The following is a 23,161-nucleotide window of genomic DNA, read 5'->3' on the forward strand; positions in this document are numbered from 1 at the left end:
TGTATTTTAAAGAAAGTAAAGTGGACATAGCAGTCACTCTGAAATCTGGGTATAGAACCACCTTCATCTCTAAAGTTTATATTTAGCCAACCACTATTCTAAGCAAGGTTGTGGTAGGAATACCTACCAACTATTGTAGGCCACATGTCACTTAAACAGGCAAAAAGTAAAGCAAAGCCATAATTGTGGTTTGATATTTTGGATATTCAATCTCATTTCAGTATTTGCATGGTCTCACATTTTGGAAACAAAATTGTGGTGATTTCACTTGTCTCTTCATATCATGATTATACTTAAAACTGAGAAACAAATGTAGACTAAAGAAGTAAACACTAAAGGGTGAGATCATGCAAGTTAAACAGATATGCTTTCTCAGGGGAAGGTCACTTACCCATCATGCGCTGATATATTTTTGTGAGCTTATATGGTTCTAGCGTATTTACAACTTGACTAACTTTACATGATTCACTGTGTACTGTAGAATATAATTAAATTGACATTTCCTGGTACAGAATAAATTTGCATATGAGCGAAACAAATGATGAGAATAAATAAGTCTGAGGCCATATAATTCCACTGGTTACCAATTTGTGTCTTCAGCTCTACACCAAAGCAAATATTACAACTCTGAACAAGCAAGCAGGCGAAGAATAGATTTGCTGTAACCTCAGATGTCAAAGAATGCATTTATCTCTGAAAACATTTGTATTTTTTTGTCACATTGTACTTTATTTAAAGGTGGCCACAGCATTAAAGTGTCAGTTCATTTTGTACAACCAGAAATGGAAAATGAGTCAGTCAAGCTGAAGCAGAAGTTTCTAACAAAGTCTAAGGCATAGTTCTATATAACTAATAATAAGGATACAATATTTGGCTTACTGAATTCCCAAACTGAGGTCACTAAAATTTAAGAATATCTACCAAAACTTAAGCGAAATCTCAGAGAAACTTTAAAAATAACATTTTATTTTTGATATTTCAAAATGTTTCAATCAATATTCTGAGCCTAAATGTGCAGGTGAGTGCTTTCTCCATCTTTGCACATGTGAAGTGCGCCTGAACCATAGCCCCATATTTCTCAAACACCATCACACTCATAGAACAGAAAGGAAAGGGTAGTTTCACCAGCTAGCCCCCACAAGCCACTCCCTGGGGTCCTCCCCAGCACCTGCTAAATTTGGGAGGCCTGATTTCAGGGGGGTGGATAATGAACTGGCAAAATAAACCCAAAAGAATCGTAATTACAAAGACCAACTCAGGTTCCAGTTAGACAGCCCATACCAGTGCTTTTGATGTTAGCTGCGGTTAAGGGGGCAGGAAAGGCTCCCACTCTATGGTCCGTGGCGTGGTCAGCTCAGCGCTGCCACCTTGGCGGGCTCCATCTCACCATGACCCTCTCAATCAGGCTGATGGTGTCTCCTTATGCCAAGTGGAAGGAACTTCAATCAAATTCTGACACGACCTGCAAATCCTCTCGGGCCCTGGGCTACTGGTTAGGCCAGTAGGGCTGTGTATCAACCGATTAAACCCATTAATAACTGGCAGCACAGCACGGCCTCCTTCTCAACAAATTACGATGCCGATCCCGGAATCAGCCATCCAGGCCCATGGTCTTTTGTCCTTAAGCTTTCAAAACGCCTCCCCTGCTTCATGCTTTCTAGTCTTGAGGACTTGGCTTCAGCGTGCTTCTGAATTGCCGCTCCCTCTGGTTGACAATTCTTTTTTTTTTTTTTTTTTTTTTAAGACGCGGTCTCACTCTTGTTGCCCAGGCTGGAGTGCGGTGGCGCGATCTCGGCTCACTACAACCTCCGCCTCCCGGATTCAAGCAATTCTGCTGCCTCAGACTCCTGAGTAGCTGGGATTACAGGCGCCCGCCACCACGCCCGGCTAATTTTTGTAGTTTTAGTAGAGACGGGGTTTCACCATGTTTAGGCAGGTTGGTGTCGACCTCCTGACCTCAAGCGATCTGCCCGCCTCAGCCACCCAAAGTGCTGGTATTACAGGCATGAGGTCCCGCGCCCGGCCGACAATTTACACTGTTCTCCAGTTGGGGCGGAGCGGGAGACACTATGGAGCCCACCTCTGCAAGAGGCAAGGCTTGGCGAAAGGCAGAGACCCCAACCATGGGAAGGTGCACTTTGGGCACCGAACTTTAGGGAAAGCGCTCTGGGTCAGGCGTCTCCTCCAGAGTGGTCAGTTTAGAGTTAAAAAGGCCGCCTTCAAAATAGTTTTAAAATCTATACATTTACCCAGACATACACATTTTTCGAGACAGGGTCTTGCTCTGTCTCCCAGGCTGGAGCGCAGTGGTGCGGTCGCAAGCCATCTTCCTGCTTCAGCCTCCCGAGGAGCTGGGACCACAGGCCCGCGCCACCACGCCGGGCTAATTTCATTTCGTTTCGTTTGTTTTATTTTCGTTTGTTTGTTTTGTAGGGATGGAGTCTGACTGTGTTGCCCAGGCTAGTCTTGAACCTCTGGGCTCAAGGGATCCTCCCTCCTCGGCCTCGCCAGGTGCTGGGGATTCAGGCTTGAGCCTCCACTCCCGGCCCTATTAATTATTCTTAATTAAAACATTTCAAGGACGCAGTGTTTGGGGCCAGCGCGGCGTTTGCAGTGGCTGCTCCAGCCTCGAGGCCGCAGGTCACCGCGCGGGCCCCGTGCCTACTGGCCCGGCAGTCCTGCGGGTCAGCTCAGGGGAGTGCTCTGGAGAGCCCTGAGCCCACCTCCTGCGCCCCGCCCAACCTCGGGTCCCCAGGCCCAGCCTCTGACACGCCGCTCCCAGCGCGGCCACGCCACAGCTCCGGGCTGCGCTCCCCCAGGCAAAGGCGCCGCCGGCGCGTCCAGCGCGGCCTCCTCCTCCAGGCGGCGCTTGTGAGTCAATGGAAAAGTCCTTGGCGAACTGAGCAGCCGCCTAGTATATCTCTGAAGCCTCCTGCGGAGACTTCACGGCTTGTCCCAGGAGCTTCTACAACAGCCTGGCATTGAGAGTAGAGTTGTAATATTTTCCGCCAGTTTTTCCCAGCCCGGCCCCGAAGCGTCTGATCTTAAAGTCCACGTATCAGACTCCGGGGGGCGTCCCTGCAAGAGCGCCAGGTCCCCGACACCCACCAGGGAATGAATCTGCGCCCAGGTCCCCGACACCCGCCAGGGAATGAATCTCCGTCCCAGGAGAAGGGCGTGGCGAGGGGAGAAGCAACAACCACAGGACCCGTGACAGTGGCCAAGCCTTAGAGGCCCCGCATGCCTGCCAGGCGCCCGAGCCCACGCAGTCCAGGTTTCCCCATCCGGGCGGGAACCAGCTGTTTCCCCTGCACGGGCGAGGGCGCTGGGGTCACCTCCGCCGACGCCAGGCGTGAGCTCCAGAACCCGCTCCCAACCGCCCGGTCCCGTGAGCGCGGGGAGCCTGGCTCTCGCCTGACAATAAAGAAATCATCACGGACAGAAGGAAAGAGGAGCGAGGCTGGGAAGGGAGCGGCTTTAATCCGGGGTCCGCCCCCTTCAATTCTCCAGCGCAGCGGCCCCGAAAGTGGGGTGGGGACGGGGATTGAGGCTGAGCTCGCTTCTTCCTTGTTTTCCGGGTCTCGCGCCTCTGAAGCGAACTGGGCCTGGAGGGGTGCTGGGGATCGAGGGAGCGGCGTTGGTGGGTGACCGAGGGAAAGGTGGGGCCAGCCCCTGGGCACCGGTCGGAGGAGGATTACGAGGCGGAGCCGCTGCCTGCCCGCGCCTCACCCGCTTGGTCCACCCAATAGCTCCGCTGTAGACTCGCGGCGGCAGGAGCGGCGGGCCAGATGGTGATTACAACCCGGGGCGCTATCCCTTTGGAACCTGACCCCCAACTCCGCTCAGTAACCGGATTTCCGGAAGCCGCGACCTCGAAGCCCCCAGCGTTTCTCCACCGACGGCGGGGCCGGGGCTCCTGGAAGCCTCGGAGCCGCAGCTCCAGCCTGCAGCGCACGCCTTGGCCCCCAGGGAGCAGAGAGGCAGAGTACCCCCCTGCATCCGGAGCATAGCAAGCATGCCCCAGGCTGAGGACCTGCGACTTGGTGGGACTTCGGTGCCCGCCCCTCCGCCACTACAGGGAGCAGAGGCGGCTCTGGAAGTCGGTTTAGTGCGGAGACCGCGACCGGAGGAGCGCAGAACGCTCCTCCCAGCGTCCTGGGCTCCGCAGGCACAATTTTTAAACCAGAGGCGAAATCCGAGTCCCGCCGCCCTCCGGGGAGGGAGCGTGGCCGCCTAGCCGAGCCCCTTCTCTGGCTCCGCCCGCTTTTGCGCCGCGAGGCCGCCTGGTGAGTTCCAGGGCCCTGTGGTCCCCCAGCCGCCGGCGCTCTCGGGTGTCTTTTGGCCGCGGCAGGAACGGAGCTGGGCGCTCAGACGGCGCCGGGGTCGTTTCTGTGCCCCCGCCCGGTGGCCGGAGCCGCAGCCTTGCCCCTTCCCCACTGGGGCAGCGCCTGCCTTTCTCGCGGCCGGACCGCGCCGGAGTCCCAGGCCCCAGGCAGCCCGGGCCGCAGCTGTCATGGAGAAGCCCGGCGCGTACTTGGGGTGCCCGGCAGGAGCCCCGGCCGCCTCGCGCCCTTCTTCTCACCCACGACTGTGGCCGGCGGCGGCCTCTGCTTCCCGGACAAAGCTGGAGATGCTGCTGCGGAGTCGGCCCTGGGACCTGCTTCTTCTCTTGGCTCCGGGGCCCGCAGCCGTCGGGGCCCGGAAGGGCTCCCCGGGGCGTTCCCTCAGGAGCGGTGGCCAGGGCTGATGGGGCGTGTACGACGCGGGACCCCGAGCCCGGCAGCAGCCAAGTATGGCAAGGACCAGCGCGAGCATCTCCCCACTGCGGCCGGGGACGGCGTGGGGTGGGAGCCGACCCGGGACATCCAGGTGGGATCGGCCACCGCTCAGGCGCTGTCCCAGGCGAACGCCGCCAGGGGCAGGCTCAGCACCGCCCAGGCCGCCGGCTCGGTGAGCGCAGAGAGGGGCCCCCGGTTTATGCCAAACGCGTGTCTTCTCCAACCTCCTCCTTAAGCCCCTGTCTCATAGGCTGGTTCCTGTCTCTCTCCAGTAGTTCCTGGGTGCCTGGGAGCAGAGACGGCCCATTCTCCCCAAGCTCAGCTGCAGGCTTCAGTGACCTGGGCAAAGTGCGGTTAACCCTGACCACCTTTTGGGGAGGAAGGCCGGTTGCTCCCCTAGCCTCCACTGTGGCACTAGGAGGCAAGGGTAGCCAAGCTGATCGCCGGTTTCATCTGTACCCACCCCCACCCCCACAGGTGTTGAGATGGGCAGTGACAGGTGGGTTGGCAGCCGGACTGGAGTGGCATGGCTAACTGCCCTGGGCACCATATTCCCTGCCTGTCACCACTCCTGGCTGCCCAAGTAGCAAAGCAAAGTTACAATGACAAGATCCAGAGAGGGGAGGCTCCAGCTGGAGATGGCGCTGCTGTCACAGGCCACCTGAGCAACAATGTGACAGCTTCTCATGGGGGCGGGATCTGTCCCCAGTCCCTACCCCGCCCTGGCTTGATCCTTGTCGGTGTCTATTTCTTTGCCTTGCTCTTATCTCAGCCTGGCTTCCCTTCCAGGATGTCAGCTCTGAGTGTCTCTTGGTCCACGCTTGTCTCCATCTCTCCTTTCTCTTCCCCACTCCCTAAACTCAGGACCCAGTCACTCCTGCTCCTTACACACATACACACCCACACTAACATACATGCACTCTCACATTCACTCTCGTTCCCCCCCCACACACACACTCCCACCCTACCTTAGACAGGAAACAAGTTTCCCTCCCAGAACCCTTATAAAGACCTGTGGGGAATGACCGGGATCTGGGCCCCCCGTAGGTCTGTGAGTGAGCCTGTGTGTGTGCAAAGGTGTGAGCCTGTGAGCATCCATGTGGCTGTGGAATTTAGAAAGCATGTGTGTACACACGTGAGTGTGACAGTGAATTGTTGAGAGTTGAAACTGTACATTTGGGGTCAGTGTGGTCTTGGTCATGTGGGCACACAGGTGAGCTCCGGCTAGGGTGGAGGGATGTGAGTGACTCGGAGTGTGGAAGCTGAGCCCAGGGCAGATGGACAAATACATCCTTTGAGCTCCTATGGAGGCTGCCACCCCATACCTTGCTCACCTACTCCCTCTTTGTCATCCTGGGTTCCGTCAAATCAGGATGGGGTGCAGGAAGGGGGAGTGAAGCTGCTGACCTCTGGGAAGGGGCCTGCACGCTCCTTGGGCCTGTCAGCCACTGATCTGTTCCATGTTCCTATAAATACTTAAAAATCCTAGCTGCTGAGGAGGAAGACATCCTCCACCAGCCAGCTGGGGGTCCTGGCCTGGAAGCTGGTGGGGAGGGAGCTAGGGAGCAAGACACATGGGGGAGGGGAGGGGGGATCGCATCAGCGAGGCTGGCATCAGGGACTCCTGAGTTCCGCTCCTAGTTTTGCCAAAGGTTAGCCTGGGTGCCCCAGTATGTCTTCATCAGGAACTGCAGAGCCAGAAATACCATCTATGCCTCTGTCCCAGGAAGCAGCCCTACCTCTGCCTGAAGAGAGAGACTCCCCCGTCAACAGCCAGCTTTCTGCCTTCTAGTCACGTCTCTCAAGTAGGGGTAAAGAGAGGGGTATTCTTGCTTTTTTTGTAGTGGGGAGCGTCTCACTGTATTGCCCAGGCTGTTCTCTAACTCCTAGCCTCAAGTGATCCTCCTGCCTGTAGCTCCCAAAGCACAACAATTACAGGTGTGAGCTGCCACACCCAGCAGCTTCTTACTCTTTAAACGCCAGACAAAATTCTTCTGGAGTTCCTGGAGGGGATTGTCTCTTTGAACTGAAAATCTTTCCCAGGACACCTTTATCAATCCATCAGGCTCTTTCTGGATTGGAGACAGAAGAAACTGCAGTTCAATGACCCCCTTTGCAAGAGCCCCCTCTGCAGCCGTTGAGGGGAGCGAAAGCATTTTCATCTGGCCTCACCCCCATCTGCAGCCAGCTCTTTCACTTCTGGAGCTGGGCTTGTTGTGATAACCTGGAAGAGGGGGAATTAGTTGGGATGACTCACTTGCTGGAGCCCATCAACACTAGACCAGGCTTGTGGCCAGATGCCTGGTTAACCAGCCCAGGAGAGCTTCCTTTCTCAGGAAGAGAATGATTATTGATCCTCTATACCCATTGCCCAGGACAGTGTCAGGCACACTATAGGCCCTTGGGCATTTGTGTGGCATCATCAGCATTACGCCTGTATCACCAAGTCAAGCTTTCCCAATAGCAGTTGGTGGCAAACTCCAACTCCTAGTGTCAGAAGGCATCACAAAGCCCAGATGTCCTGGGCCTCCCAGCTCAGGCAAGCCTAGCGTGGACACAGAAACCCTTGACACTGAGCCAATATCTCTTCCCCCTGTATGGCTTGAATTTCAGATATATTGATGTTGAGCCCTTCTGGCCGGCAGTGGGACTCCCCTTGGCCTTACATAGGTAATGCCTATATCCTGGCCTGGGCTTTTCCAAGAAGCCAGACTCTGGGAAGGACCTGGAGTGGAGGAAAAAACAGGCAGAGGGAACCCCATGAGGGGTTCTGGCTGTGGAAACTTGCCCCTAATGGGGCATCAAAGCCAGGCACGCAGGGGCTCCTGCTCTGCCAGAGGTTTGAAGTCAGGACTACAGCTTCCCATCTTACTCTTGGGATACAAATCAGCTGTTTTCAGATGAGAGAGTCTGAGGTTCCAATTTTATAAGATGAGAAGGGCTGAGGTGATGCCCATTGTGCCACTTGGCTGAGTCCAGAGCTGTGATGAAGAGGGAAAAGTCACAGGGCAGGACAAAGAAGGGGACTCAGGGACCCGGGAGTTTTCCTTGGCAGAAGTCAACTTGCCCCACCCCTGAGAAAACTCTGACCTTCTCAGCTGCCAGGGAGGAAAGCAGGGACTGGGGAGAAGGGGACAGGGAGAGGGAACAGTCTGGTGCTCTGCGCCCTGGGAGAGAAGTCTGATGACAGCAGTGACTCAGGAAGGGTTAAGAATATTCCTAAAATAGCCAAGCCACAGCTTAAGCCAGTCCATGAATGCCTCTTCCAGAGAGCAGATCTGTAGCAGGAAAAGTCAGCCTGATCTTTGCCCCACTGCCTGCTGCCTGGCCCTGGCTGCTAATTAAGCCTCCCACCCTGTCCCCTTCACCAACTCCTGTCCTAATGGCGATGGGGTAGGAGTAGTCAGAGGAGCCAAATCTCCCAGATCAACAGAGAACTCCAGCTGGGACCAGGAGCACTGGGCCCAATGCCTCCCCTCCCCCATCCACACTCCTGAGTCAGGTAGAGGACATAGGGGGACAGACAGGCAAAGTGCAGGCCTTCTGCATGGGATGGAGGCTGCCAGGAGAGAGCAACCAAATTCTCCCACCCACACATATGCATCGCCAGCCATGATCAGGTGGGACCTCCAAGATCATCATCAACTACTACCTTCTCCTAGCTCTTTGTTCCCTTTTACTTAGGGCATCTTGGAGTGAGATGCACAGGGAAGGGTCGAGGGAGCCCCTTCATGAACAAACCATATCTTTGTTTCAGGGGCAGGACTGGGTACATAATTTGCAGGACCCGGTGTGAACTGAAAATGGAGTCATTTGTTCAAAAAATGTTAAGAATTTGAAGGCAGTGACAACATAGCATTAAACCAAGTTCAGGTCCCCTCTGAATGTGGGGCTTTTGCCATTGCACAGGTGGCACCTCTATGAAGCCAGCCTTGTTTAGGGGTTTCGTTTAATGAACATTTACTAAGTGCCCACTGCTCAGCTCTTCTGGCTCTGTAATATGGTCTGGCTCTGTGTCTGCACCCAAATGTCATTTTGAATTGTAATCCCCTCGTTTTGGGGGAGAGACCTCATGGGAGGTGATTACTTCATGGGAGTGGTTCCCACGTGCTCGTCTCGTGAAAGTGAATGAGTTCTCACGAGATCTGATGGTTTTATAAGTGACCTTTCCCCTCTTCGTTTTGCACTTCTCTCTCCTGCTGCCACATGAAGAAGGACATGTTTGCTTCCCCTTCCACCGTGATTGTAAATTTCCTGAGGCCTCCCCAGCCATGTGGAACTGTGACTCAATTAAACTTCTTTCCTTTATAAATCACCCAGTCTTGGGTGTTTCTTCACGGCAGTGTGAAAGTGAACTAATACACTCTGTGACCTCAGAGACTCCCTCTCAGTGACCCTGTTCTCAAATGAATGAAGATGGGTGCTCAAAGATCTCTCTCTAAACATGGAACGGGGGCTATCTGAAGACACAGGTGATTAATTTCTAATCATAACTAAGGTCTGAGTCTTGAAGACCTTCCTCTGGAGCCTCATTAAATTTAGTTAATCTAGATGGGTCCAGGTGCTGCAGGTAATTACCCTTGTCTTGTCTCTTGCAAAATCATGGAGGTTTGGAGAGTTCTTTTAGACCCCCTCTCACATGGAGGTTTGTTTTCTTCTTTTTTCTTTCCTGCAAGGACAAAGTGAATTCTGTGATGGTTTGTGTAGCGTTTTTTAGTTTATTGCCAAAAATTGAGGCTCAAGTTAGTAGACTACATTTTTAAATGAAACTTTCTAGACAAAGAAATGCAGCTGAAACTGTTCCTTTGATACCAGTTTCCAAATCTGCACAGAGTTGATAGCAATTTTTTCTCTTTATCTTTCCCTGAATTGTATATATTCATATAAATGCTCTTAAATTATTAGTGCAACAGGGTGGATTGTCATTACAGAGAACGTCCTTAGTATAGAACATAAATCTTCCCACTGCCAACTGGGCTCTGGTCACAAAGCACCCAGAGCTGGCCTTTAACTTCCACTTCTTGATTCTTTTCCTTACCTTTTCTATTTCTAGAATGGCTTTGTCATTTCACTTGTCTGTCTGGTAATATCCTCCTCCTGTAAGAATCAACGAGTTCTTGATACATATTGGTCTAAATTTGCCTCCTGTTTGAACCTTTTTCCAGTTTTCCAGGCAAGGTTGATTTATCTGTCTTCTGTGTCTCCATAACAATCTTTCCAAGCATAATACAGTAAAAAGAGAGCTGATTCATCATGTCCTCTCCGTTTCCCTCTGGAGACTTGGGAGCTGATGTGAGGGTACAGGTATGTCCCTGTATAAGCTCTTTGGTCGCCTTTGTCAGTTTAGCACAGTTCTCGGTATATAATTGTTCTCAGGTGCCATTAAACTGGACCTGAATAACTGAAGGATCGAAAGTGTTCAGGAATCACCCAGGATGCTTCAATAATTCATCCTAATTAGGGATATGGGGAAACTGCATGAGAAAGAAGTTTTTTTTTTTTGAACTTTGAGGATAAATTAAAATTCAGTAGGCAGAATGATAATATATGTTGATAATTTTTATTTTAAAATGTTCATTTTTACCATTTTGATATAATAGTTTATTTTTTAAGAAAAAGGCAGAAACCCCTGCTTATTAGAAGGCAGATTTTATTGATTTTTTACCCCTAGACTTGTTGCATATCAAACCTATATAAAAATATCTATAAATCAAATCATTAATTGTGCCTCGTATAATAATTCTATATATGGATGTAATGTTTGATTCTTCAGGAGCTTTAATAACTTGAAGGCGCTTTGATTGCTTTAAAATTATTTCTCATTGTATTTGTTTATATTGTATCGTTAAGCAAAAGTACAGAGTAAGCAATTAGTGTGATTAATTCCTCTTCTATAATACAGTAAAGCACTGCCTCCCTAGACCAATTCTCTGGGATCCCTGGAAGACATCTGGCATCCAGCAAGTCTTTACCCCTCTTTAGAAAGCCGTGGAGAAACTGGGGGCAATTCTGTTACTTATTTGCCCTCTAGAGGCAATTCCATTAATTACCCTCCCTCACCTATCCATGGCACTATTTCTTCAGTTACATGTAGAATGCTGTTATGTGTCTCCTGGCCAGACCCTTTATTTCACAGATGTGGAAATTGAGGCCATGAAGGATGAGGTAATTGTTCAGAGTCCACATGACTAGTTACTGCCCAGAGCCTGGCCTGGACTTCTCTCTTGTTCTGAGGCCTTGAGTTCTCTCCCTCTTCTTTAGTGCATATGACCAGAGGTAACATAATCTGCGTACCAGATGGTTATTTTCCATCTTTTTTTGTTTGCATTATAATAGCCATTTTAATGGGTATGAAGCTGTACCTCACTGTGGTCTTGCTTTCCATTTCCCGTATGACTTGTGATATTGTCTGCACATATTTTAATGTTTATACACTAACAGAGCTGATTACTAGGGGTGTGTGCGTAAGGGGAACTGTGTGGCTGCTGAGTGGCTTCCCTGTGGGATGATCAGCCAGAACCCGCTATTGTATTAGGGGAATCCCCAGATGTCACCGTCTATGGGTCTTTTTCAGTTTTTATGGGTACATAGTAGGCATATATATTTATGGGGTACATGAGATATTTTGATACAAACATACAATGCATAATAATGACATCAGGGTAAATGGGATATCCATCATCTCAAACATTTATCATTTCTTTGTATTATAAACAATTCAGTTATACGCAGTTATTTTAAAATGTACAAAAAAACTATTGTAGTTACCCTGTTGTGCTATCAAATAATAGATCTTATTCATTGTAACTGTATTTTGTACCTATTAACTATCCCCACTTCCCCCCACCGACTGCACTTCCCAGCCTCAAGTAACAACCATTCTACTGTATCTTCATGAGTTTAATTGTTTTAATGTTTAGCTCCCCAAAATGAGTGTGAATGTGCAAAGCTTTTCTTTCTGTGGCTGGCTTATTTCACTTAAAATAATGTCGTCCGGCACCAGTCCATGTTGTCACTAATGACAAAATCTCATTCTTTGTTATGGCTGAATAGTACTCCATTGTATATATGCACATTTTCTTTATCCATTCATCTGTTGGTGGACACTTAGGTTGCTTCCACATCTTGGATATTGTGAATAGTAATGCAATAAACATAGGAGTGCAGCTATCTCTTCGATATATTTATTTTCTTTTTTGTGTATATATCTAGCAATGAGATGGTTGGATCATATGGTAGCTCTATTTTTAGTTTTTTGAGGAACCTCCAAATTGTTCTCCATAGTGGTTGCACTAATTTACATTCCCACCAACAGTATGCAAGGGTTCACATTTTTCCATATCCTCACCAGCATTTGTTATTGCCTGTCTTTTGAATAAAACCCATTTTAACTGGGGTGAGATGATATATCCTCATAGCTCTGATTTGCATTTCTCTGATAATCAGTGATGTTGGTCACCTTTTCCTAAGTCTATTAGCTTTTTGTATTTCTTCTCTGAGAAATGTCTATTAAGACCTTTTGCCCATTTTAAAATCAGATTATTAGATTTTTCTCTATACAGTTGTTTTAGCTTTTTATATATTGTGGTTATTAATCCCTTGTCAAATGGACAGTTTGCAAATATGTTTCCCCATTTTGTGGATTTTCTCTTTGTTGATTGTCTCTTTTGCTGTGCAGAAGCTTTTTAACTTAATGAGATCCCATTTGTCCTCTTTTGCTTTGGTTGCCTGTGCTTGTGGAGTATTGCTTAAGAAATCTTTCCCCAGTCTAATGTCCTGGAGAATTTCCCCAGTGTTTTCTTGTAGTAGTTCAACCTACCAAGATTGAACCATGAAGAAATTCAAAACCTGAACCAACCAATAACAAATAATGAGATCAAAGCCTTAATAAAAAGTATTAACAAAGAAAATCCTGGAAGCAATAGCTTCACTGCTGTATTTTACCAAATATTTACAGAAGAACTAATACCAATCCTATTCAAACTATTCCAAAAAATAGAGGAGGGAGAAATATTTCAATGCCTGATACTTAAATCAAAGACACATTAAAAAAGAAAACTACAGGCCAATATCCCTAAGGAAAATTGATGCAAAAATCCTCAAGAAAATTTACAGGCAAAACAAAGTCCACAACATATTGAAAATTATTCATAATGACCAAGTGGAATTTATGCCAAGAATGGAAGGATGGTTCAACATAACACAAATCAATGTGATCATCATATCAACAAATGAAGGACAAAATTCATAATAATGTGAATTGATGCTGTAAAGCATTTGATAAAATTCAACATTTTATTGTAAAAACCCTTAAAAAAACAGGGTATAGAAGAAACATACCTCAACACAATAAAAGCCATGTAAGACACACCCACAAGTAGTTTCTTACTGAATGGGAAAAAAACTGAAAGCCTTTACTCTAAGATCTGGAACAAGAGATGCCCACTTTCACCACTCTGCCTCCTGAGTTCAAGTGATTCTCCTGCCTCAGCCCCTCCCAAGTAGCTGGGACTACAGGCACATGCCACCACACCTGACTAATTTGTGTGTGTGTGTGTATTTTTAGTAGAGATCGGGTTTTACCGTGTTAGCCAGAATGGTCTCAATCTCCTGACCTTGTGATCCGCCTGCCTCAGCCTCCCAGAGTGCTGGGATTACAGGCATAAGCCACTGCGCCTGGCCCTTCCTGTCTTCTTCTAAGCTCTCCAAACTGTTCCAACCTCTGCCCATTACCCACTTCCAAAGCTGCTTCCACATTTTCAGGTATCTTTATAGTAATGCTCTACTTCCCAGTACCAATTTTCTGTATTAGTCTGTTCTTGCACCGCTATAAAGAACTACCTGAGACTGGGTAATTTATAAAGAAAAGAGGTTTAATTGGCTCACAATTCTTCAGGCTGCACAAGAAGCATGGCTGAGGAAGCCTCAGGAAACTTACAATCATGGCAGAAGGTGAAGAGGGAGGTGGCACGTCTTACATGGCTGGAGCAGGAGGAAGAGAGAGCAAAAGGGGGGAGGTGCTACATACTTTTAAACAATCAGATCTGGTGAGAACTCACTATCACAAGAATGGCAAGGGAGAAATACTCCACCATGATCCTATCACCTCCCCCAAGACCCTCCTCCTACACTGGGGATTACAATTAAACATGAGATTTGAGTGGGGACACAAATCTACACCATTTTCATAAGGTTAATATTAAAAATTATTTGCTTTCCTATATGCTAGCAATGAAAAAAATTGGAATTTGAAATTTCAAATGCAATGCTATTTACATGAGTACCCCCAAAATGAAATATGTAGGCATAAAGTAAACAAAATATGTACAAGATCTATATGAGGAAAACTTCAAAACTTTGATGAAAGAAATCAAAGAAAACCTAAATAAATCGATAGATATTTCATGTGCAAGGATAGCAAGACTCAGTATTGTTAAGACGTTAATACTCCCCTTCTTGATCTATAGATTCAACACAATTCCAATCAAAATTCTAGCAGGTTATTTTGTGGATATCAACACATTTATTCTAAAGCTTACATGAAGAGGCAAAAGACTCAGAGTAGTCAAAATGCTGAAGAATGACAACTCAGAGGACTGACACTACCCAACTTTAAGACTTACTATCCAGCTAAATAATTGAGATAACATGGCATTAGTGAAAGAACAGGCAGATTGATCAGTGGTTCCAAAGAGTGAGCCCAGAAATTGACCTAGGCAAATATAGTCAGCTGAGCTTTGACAAAGAAGCAAAGGCAATTAAATGAAGGAATATAGTCTCTTCAACAAGTGGTGCTTAAAAACTGAACATCCATGTACAAAAAAAAAAAGAATCTAAGCTCAGACTTTACACCCTTCTCAAAAATTAAAACTCAAAATGGATCAAAGATCTAAATGTAGAATGCAGAATCACAAAGGACAGAAAACCAAACACCGCATGTTCTCACTCATAGGTGGGAATTGAACAATGAGAACGCTTGGACACCAGGGACGGGGAACATCACACACCGGGGCCTGTCATGGGGTGGGGGGATGGGGGAGAGATAGCATTAGCAGAGATGCCTAATGTAAATGACGAGTTAATGGGTGCAGCAAACCAACATGGCACATGTATACATATGTAACAAACCTGCACATTGTGCACATGTACCCTAGAACTTAAAGTATAATAATAATTTAAAAAAATCTAGAAGATCAAAGGAGAAAATCCAGGTGGCCTTGGGTTTGGTGATGTGTTTTCAGATACAGCTAAGGGCAGGTGCAGTGGCTTACACCTGTAATCCCAGCACTTTGGGAAGCCGAGGCGGGCAGATAGCTAGAACTCAGGAGTTTGAGGCCAGCCTGGGCAACATGGTGAAACCTCATCTCTACCAAAAATACAAAAAATTAGCAGGTGTGGTGGTACGCATCTGTGGTGCCAGCTACTTGGGAGGCTAATGGGGGAGCATTGCTTGAGCCTGGGAGGCAGAGGTTGCAGTGAGCTGAGATTGTGCCATGGCACTCTAGCCTGTGTGACAGAGTGAGACTCCATCTCTAAATAAATAAATAAGACACAACCAAAAGCACAATGCATGAAAGAAAAAAATTGGTAAGTTGGACTTTATTAAAGTTAAAAACTGTTATGAGAATGAAGATGGGAGCAAGAGATGGGGAAAATATTTCCAAAATACATATTTAATAAAGGACTTGTATCCAAAATATACAAGTCTTTTAAAACTCAACAATAAGAAAATGAGCAACATGATTAAAAAATACCAAAAGAGGCCGGGCGCGGTAGCTCACGCCTGTAATCCCAGCACTTTGGGAGACTGAGGTGGGCAGATCACAAGGTCAGGAGTTCGAGACCAGCCTGGCCAATATGGTGAAACCCCATCTCTACTAAAAATACAAAAATTAGCCAGGCATGGTGGGGCATGCCTGTCATCCCAGCTACTTGGGAGGCTGAGGCAGAAGAATTGCTTGAACCCAGGAGGCAGAGGTTGCAGATCGCACCACTGCAGTCCAGCCTGGTCAACATAGTGAGACTCCATCAAAAAAAAAAAGAAGAAAGAAAGAAAGAAAGAAAGAAAGAAAGAAAGAGAGAGAGAGAGAGAGAGAGAGAAGAGAAGAGAAGAGAAGAGAAGAGAAGAGAAGAGAAGAGAAGAGAAGAGAAGAGAAGAGAAGAGAAGAGAAGAGAAGAGAAGGGAAGAGCTACTTGGGCTGAACTAGGACGGTCGCTTGAGCCTGGGAGTTTGAGGCTGCAAGGGAGCCTTGATTGCACCACTGGGTGACAGAATGAGAACTGGTCTCAAAAAAAAAAAAAAGAAAAAAAAGAGAAATGAGCTATCAAACAATGAAAAGACATAGAGGATATCCAAATGCATATTGCTAGGGGAAAGAAGCCAGTCTGAAAAGGTTATATATAGTACAGATCCAACTATATAACATTCTGGAAAAGGCAAAACTATAGAGATGGTAGAAAGATCAGGGGTTGCCAGAAATTTTGGGGGAGGGGGATAGATGAGTGAAGTACAGGGGATTTTTAGGGTGGCAAGATTATTCTATATGAAATTGTAAAGGCGGATACCTTTATGCATTTGTCAAAACTCAGAGAATTGTACAACAGAGTGAACCTTAATGTGAAGTATAGACGATAGTTATTTATAATGTGTCAATAATGGTTCATTCATTTTAACATATGTACCACCACAATCCAAGACGTTAACAATAGAGGAAACAGGCAGGGAAGTGGGGTGAGCAGATGGAATTCTGTACCACATGCTGGACTGGTCTGTAAATCTAAAACTGGACTAAAATATGAAGCATTTGACTGCTTAAAATACTCAGCTGATGAGCTCAACAATAGAATGGAGGTAACAAGAAAAGAATTGGTAAACTCGAAGATAGAGCAATATGAACAATGGAGAGAAAACAGGCTGTAAAAACGAACTTCAGGACCTGTGGGATCCACATGGAATACCTGACATTCCTGCCATTGCAGTCACAGAAGGAGAGTACAAAGAGGTGGTCCTCGAAACATATTTGAAGAAATCATGACCAAAAACTTACCAACTCTGGCAAAAGACAAAGCTATAGACTTAAGAAGCTTAGCTTAGTGACCACCAAACAGGATGAACACAAAGACATTCCAAGGGACATCATAGTTGAACTTCTGTAAACTTAAAGGCAAATAAAAAGTCTTGAAAGCTGTGAGAAAGAAATGACACCTCATCTATAAAGGGAAAACATCACAAGTGACAATAGATTTCTCATATGGAACTCTGAAGGCCAGAAGGAAGTGGCACATTTTTCCCCTTATTGAAAGAAAAAAAACCCCATCAAACAAAAATGCCCTGCAAGAATGGACAAATGGGCATTCTCAGATGAAGGAAAACTAAGAGAATTTGTCGCTAACAAACGCTCTCTTAAGAGTGGCTAAGCAGGCCGGGTGGTGGCTCATGCCGGTAATCCCAGCACTTTGGGAGGCCGAGGAGGGAGGATTGCTGGAGCCCAGGAGTTCAAGACCAGCCTGGGCGATGTAGCAAGACCCCATCTCTACTATTAAGAAAAAAGAAAATTAGCTGGGCGGTGGTGGACCGCACCTGTGGTCCAAACTACTCAGGAGGCTTAAGTGGGAGAATCACTTGAGCCCAGGAGTTTGAAGCTGCAGTGAGCCGAGATCTCATTACTGCACTCCAGCCTGGGCAGCAGAGCGAGATCCTATCTCAAAGGGAAAAAAAAGAAAAAAACAACAAACAATGGCTAAGCACAGTCGGCCGGGACCAGAGAATCTGGCTTCCTAAACCAAGAAGGCGGGCCAGCCCAGGACAGGCGGTGGGGAAGAGGCGCTGCCCAGGCAGGCGTCTCCCAGCAGGGCCGCCTGCGGGCGTCCATCCTCTGCGAGGCCCTTTGCCGGCCAATCGCGTGCTGTGGGGACCACAGAAGTCCCTCTCTGCTTGAGTGAGTGAACGCTACCAGCAACTGGTCTCCGTCCTCCAAAGCTGAGATGAGAGCCTCACAGCAAAAGCAGCAGCGTTAGCCCGTACATTTATTTAACGGAAGAGTTATTTATAGCAATGCACCAAAAACAAGCAGGTTGGTACTTTTTTTTTTTTTTTTTTTTTTTTTTTTTTTTTTTTTTTTTTTAGGTGGAGTCTTGTTCTGTCGCCAGGCTGGAGTGCAGTGGCGCGATCTCAGCTCACTGCAACCTCCGCCTCCCAGGTTCAAGCGATTCTCCTGCCTCAGCCTCCCAAGTAGCTGGGACTACAGGCGCCCGCCACCGTACCTGGCTAATTTTTTGTATTTTCAGTAGAGACGTGGTTTCGCCATGTTGGCCAAGATGGTCTCGATCTCTTGACCTCATGATCCACCCACCTCCGCCTCCCAAAGTGCTGGGATTACAGGACGCTGCAGGTTCAAGGCCAAGGCACTGGCCAGCCTTACGCCCGCGAGCTGGACCCGGCCCAGTCCTTGTTAGTCCTCAGCTCCTTCCCCGCCTCAGGAAAGTCGCGTCCTGGTCAGGAGGACCTGCCGACTGGTCTGCGCCCAGCTGCAGGTTGGTCCTTTCTGCTGCTGTTGTTGCTGCGGTCTCACCCAGAGTTGCCTCTCCTCGCCCCTGACAGAGCAGGGGCATCTCCATCTTGTACAAGCACCGCCATCTTAAAGTTCCCCTTGATCAAAAACTGCCTAAATCTAAAGGTCATCAGCCTGATGGCTACGGTCAGCATGACCATAAACCACAAATGACATCTCTGACCAGAAACATTGCAACCCTAAGATAAACCCCTCTCCGACCAGAGACATGCCAGCCCTGAGATAACATCCCCTCCCGCGGGAGACATTCCAACCCTGCCATAAACTTCTCCCCCACACAGAAACACTTCAAATCTGTGATAAGCTCTCTCACCCTAAAACACTCCTAGTCTGTAAGACAGAATGCTCCTGACAGAAATAGGCTAGAAGCCCCTCAGGTTTATTCTCCAAAATAAACCTGTCTTTGACTGTTGAGCCACTTTTCATGTTTCTTTCCTTTCTTTAACTCTTACAGCCCCCTCGCCCTAAGGACACAGTGTGGGCTGTTGCAGGTCCTCCTGACCAGGACGCGACTTCCCTGAGGCGGAGGAGGAGCTGAGGACGAACAAGGACTGGGCTGGGTCCAGCTGGTGGGCGTAGGGCTGGCCAGTGCCTTGGCCTTTAACCTGCAGCGTCCTGGGTCTCTTTGGCCCAGCCAGTCGTGAGGACTGTGGCCCAGGATGCTGCCGAACAGTGAGGGTGCCCATTGTGGACTGGAATCCAGCTAGCTATTCCTCATTCGAGACCCCATAGAACCCCACAAACATGATTGGGGTTGACATGGATTTTGAATATTAAAGTTACATGAGATTTCTGAACTTGAGTGTCATGGAGCAAATTTCAAACGTGGTGTGTGTGTGTGTGTTTGTGTCACACTTAAGAGACAAATTACAAGACAGGACACCGAGTCCTTCACCCGCCTGCAGTCCAGCCTTGCAAGCCGTGGGGGCATGGCCTTCCACTGGGGGCGTGGCCTCCTGGCGCGGGCGTGGCAGGGCAGCACAGCCTGGCTGAGGAAAGCACAAATCCTGCTCTGCAACTGCTGGCTCCGTGGCCTTGGGAAGTCAGCACCAACTCCCCAGGGTTTTTGAGGAGGTGGTGTGACTTAGTGACTGCAAATGCAAGGCGTGCCTTGCCTTCCACTGAACATGCGCAGTGTTGGCGCTGTTTTACTGTTTTCTTCATTGCTTGCACTTTTGACTTTCACTTTCTGCTGTACCCATTCCCAGGCCCAGGATTGGGTTCCTCCCCACCCCTTTCGTTACTCCCTGAGGAACCAGCTCTGAACTGTGGATCCCTGGAGTCCCACATGGAGCCCCTCCTCAAGTGTACCATGATGGCCCCACCTCAGGACCCACACACACAGGTGGCTGAGAAACAGGGCAACATGCAGAGGGAAAACCAGGCACCACGTTCCGGGATTCAAAGGCAAATTTGACCCAAGCAGTTCTTCATCCAGCAAGGCATTAGGCTGAAACCCCTGTCTGCTTCTCCGCAGCTAATCTTTCCAGGCTTCCCTGCTGATTTCAGGATCCAAACCTCCTCTCTTAAGGGCTCTCACCACTCCCCCAGGGACAGTGCCCTCTGCCACACCAGGTCCCCTCTCCTGGCCTTCCTTCCTGACATGGGCTTTCCCCTCTCCCAGGAAGCCCCTCATGCTCACCTGATGTGATTCACTGAATCACCCCAGGGCCTCACACACTGCCCACTCCATAAACATGTGACCTGAAGTGGGTTTATTACTTACAGATTGGCTGTGAGGGACAATAGAAGCCTAGGTTTCAGGACAAGCCAGTCCTCCAAGCCTCAGGAAAGCTGTCCAGAGTGGATGGACTCTCATCTGTTTGCTCCACTTGTACCACAACTAAGAGACCCTGCAGAGCAGCTGGCGCTGGGTGTTATACTCAAGGGTAGTGGGAATTGCTGGGCTAAAGCATTGGAGAACACTCTGTTTCTAGAGGGAACAAGAACAGAGCCTGGGCTGTTTTGGTCAGTTCCTCCTTATCTCAGGATGTTGCATTTTCAGCACATTCTATAGTTATTCTCGAGAACTATAAGTAAAAAAGTGGGGGCCGAGCATGGTGGCTCACGCCTGTAATCCCAGCATTTTGGGAGGCTGAGGCAGGTGGATCACATGAGGTCAGGAGTTTGAGGCCAACCTGGCCAACATGGCTAAACCCCATCTCTACTACAAATACAAAAAAATTAACCAGACGTGGTGGCAGGTGCCTGTAATCCCAGCTACTGTGGAGGCTGAGGAAGGAGAATTGCTAGAACCCTGGGGGCGGAGGTTGCAGTGAGCCGAGATCACACCACTGCACTCCAGCCTGGGCAACAGAGTGAGATTCCATTCAAAACGAAAAAAAAGAAAAAAAGGTGGGGAGAACTGCATTGGCCCAAGCCACCCAAAGAACTGTCCTGCAAGCAGCATTAAGCTGGTTTCTGTTACATCCAAGGAGTGGCTCTTATCGGCTCTTGGTCATGGTCTGTGTCATGCAGCAGGATTTGGTGAGCCACAGTTATAGGCAAAAGCCATGTCTCCAGGATGAACCACATGGGTACCATGTTCATAGCAGCCAGGACACTGGAAACCAGGAACTTGTAGACCTCTTATTGATGGCAGTGGTGGCCTGTCTGAAGTGGCTGCTGCCATCACACTGGCTGTGGCAAGGAGGTGCAGCCAGGGCTGCACATTCTGTGGAACCAGCAGCAGCTGGAGACAAATGGGAGCCCCACTCATTCAGAGTTGGTGGGGTGGGAGCTCCCTGGATGCAGCCGCAGCCACCCAACTCTTGGCTATGGACCCAGCCCTCCTGCTCCATGGAGCAAGAAGGAGCCACACCCACTCTGGGCACAGCTGTAGCTGCCCAAGTTGTGGCTGCAGACCCAGGCATCCTTGCACCCTTGGGGGCCAGGGAAGGCCCCCCCTTGCGGGCTTGAAAATGCCTGCTCCCACTGCCTGGCTTCTCCTTGCTGTTGGCACCCCCTCCAATCTCAGAGCAAAGTCCAGCTAAGCCTGGGTGCTGTCACAGCCTAGCTGGGTGTGCACCTGCTTGGGGCAGTACTGACACACCAGCCCGCTGCCACCTCAGCACCCTCCAGACTTTAGGCACTGATGAGCATAGGAGGGAAGCTGATGGGGGCCTGAGGGCAGCTTGGCGCTGACCTGCAGGCACCCCTTGGCACCTACAGCCTTGGCGCCATGAGAAGCAGCAGGAGGCAGACAGGTTATAGGGTGGGGGGGCGGGCAGGTCCCTGGTGAGGCCCCACCTTCAGGTCAGGGATGTCCTGAAGGCTGGTGGCCAGGACGGCAGTCCCATGGACCATAGTGGGAAATTGTGATGTCTTTTCCAGCCCACCTGTGGCGGTCCATGGACCAATCAGGGTGGCATTTCCTCTCCTCTGAGGCCCATAAAAGCCCCAGGCTCAGCCAGAGCTGAGTAGACATCAGGACAACTAGCTACAGAGAGGAGCCACCCACTTCAGGGCCTCCTGTCTGCTGAACACTCAACATGATGACCAGCTGCAGGGAGGAGCTACCCATTCCGGTGCTTCCTCTGAGCTATTCTGTCACTCAATAAAGCACCTCTTCACCTTGCTCATTCTTCACTTGTCTGTGTACCTCATTCTTCCTGGATGCGGGACAAGAACTCAGGACTTGCTGAATAGCAGGGCTGAAAGAGTTATAACACAAACAGTGCTGATACATGTCCCTTGCTCCCCATGTTGCAGATGAAGGGAAGGAGAGAAGAGCTGCAGCCCTTCAGGGAGCCCAGACCTGGGAGCTCCCCAGGCCAGGGCTTTGACTCCCTCTTTGGGGCCTTGTGGTTCCTGGAATCTTCAAGCTTCTGGGCACCACTGTGTTCCCTGGTGGCAGCTGTGGAAGCTGCTTGCAGTGTCCCTAGTTCAGCCACAGCTTCACAGAGAGCTGGTGCCCATGCCGGCACTTGGAACTGCCCATCCCACTGCAGCAGCCGGCATGCTTGACTGTGCAGTGACCAGACCCCATGCTCACTTGCTCACACACCCCTCACTACTCCATGCCTGGCTTACCCTTGGCAGGCCTGGGATCCAGGCTGGTGGCGTGAGCTGAGTGCAGCCTGCCAGGCCAAGTGAGTGGAATGAGCTGAGTGAGTGGAACAAGCCCATTGGTCCTGAACAAATATTGGGCAATGGCTCCACCCTCCACAGAGGTTTCTGGCCAGAAAAGTGAAACCCCAAGGATCCTGAAACATTATTGGTTCTCAGTGAGGGGTCCCAGGACCAGGAGCAACAGCCTCACTGGGGAACTTGTTGAAATACAAATTCCCAGCACCAAGCCAAGCACTCTGAATCAGAAACCTGAGTGGAGCTGGCAATCTATGTTTTAACGAGCCTTCCAGAATCGATGCATACCAGCGTTTGAGACCTAAAGGGGTGCCTAGACACCCTGGGCAGCTTTCCTGAGCCTTGGGAGTGCCATCCACTGATTGACTGGGGCCATCAGCCCCTCTACTCTTGCCTCCTCATATCCACCTCCAGCCTGTTTCTGAAACTGTTTCCAAGAGGCTTGTCCTGAGTTTACAGCAAGGCTTGTCCTTCTGTCTTCTCCCATCCCTGGAACTGCTCCTCGTCAGTTCTTTTCCTGCTGTGGAAGCCCTGGGATATGGAGACACTCCTGTCCTTCATGCAGAGCATCTAGATGCCGCTGCAGGGGGTGAGACCACACAGACTGCTGCACTCTGTTCTGCGTGCCCCTGACCGACTGCAGCTTCATCATCATAAGCTCAGGACAAGGTGGTCACACTGACCAGACCTGGCCCAGCACTCATCCTAGTGAGCCACTTCCCACCC

At 49.2% G+C, this 23,161-nt stretch overlaps 2 long non-coding RNA genes across 2 annotated transcripts, besides 3 other annotated features; one reads left to right on the forward strand and one right to left on the reverse strand.

Annotated features, from left to right (window-relative positions):
• Positions 1-708: 708 nt before the first annotated feature.
• LOC283028 (uncharacterized) lies at positions 709-4,728 on the reverse strand. Its single transcript, NR_136644.1, has one exon. It is a non-coding gene; the product is annotated as an uncharacterized LOC283028 (long non-coding RNA).
• LOC105378269 (uncharacterized) lies at positions 4,667-19,146 on the forward strand. Its single transcript, NR_134498.1, has 2 exons — positions 4,667-4,950; positions 18,804-19,146. It is a non-coding gene; the product is annotated as an uncharacterized LOC105378269 (long non-coding RNA).
• Positions 5,286-5,580: a silencer, noted in NCBI's record as "tiled region #13348; K562 Repressive DNase matched - State 12:CtcfO". NCBI's record gives its function as "represses a minimal TATA promoter and a strong SV40 promoter by Sharpr-MPRA in K562 cells {active_cell/tissue: K562}" and the evidence as "EXISTENCE:reporter gene assay evidence [ECO:0000049][PMID:27701403]".
• Positions 18,827-19,327: an enhancer, noted in NCBI's record as "H3K4me1 hESC enhancer chr10:43264750-43265250 (GRCh37/hg19 assembly coordinates)". NCBI's record gives its function as "activates a minimal SCP1, AML or CMV promoter by ChIP-STARR-seq in primed H9 embryonic stem cells {active_cell/tissue: H9 hESC(primed)}" and the evidence as "EXISTENCE:reporter gene assay evidence [ECO:0000049][PMID:30033119]".
• Positions 19,328-19,828: an enhancer, noted in NCBI's record as "H3K4me1 hESC enhancer chr10:43265251-43265751 (GRCh37/hg19 assembly coordinates)". NCBI's record gives its function as "activates a minimal SCP1, AML or CMV promoter by ChIP-STARR-seq in primed H9 embryonic stem cells {active_cell/tissue: H9 hESC(primed)}" and the evidence as "EXISTENCE:reporter gene assay evidence [ECO:0000049][PMID:30033119]".

Source organism: Homo sapiens, chromosome 10, assembly GCF_000001405.40.
Source record: "Homo sapiens chromosome 10, GRCh38.p14 Primary Assembly".
NCBI classification, from domain to species: Eukaryota; Metazoa; Chordata; class Mammalia; order Primates; family Hominidae; genus Homo; species Homo sapiens.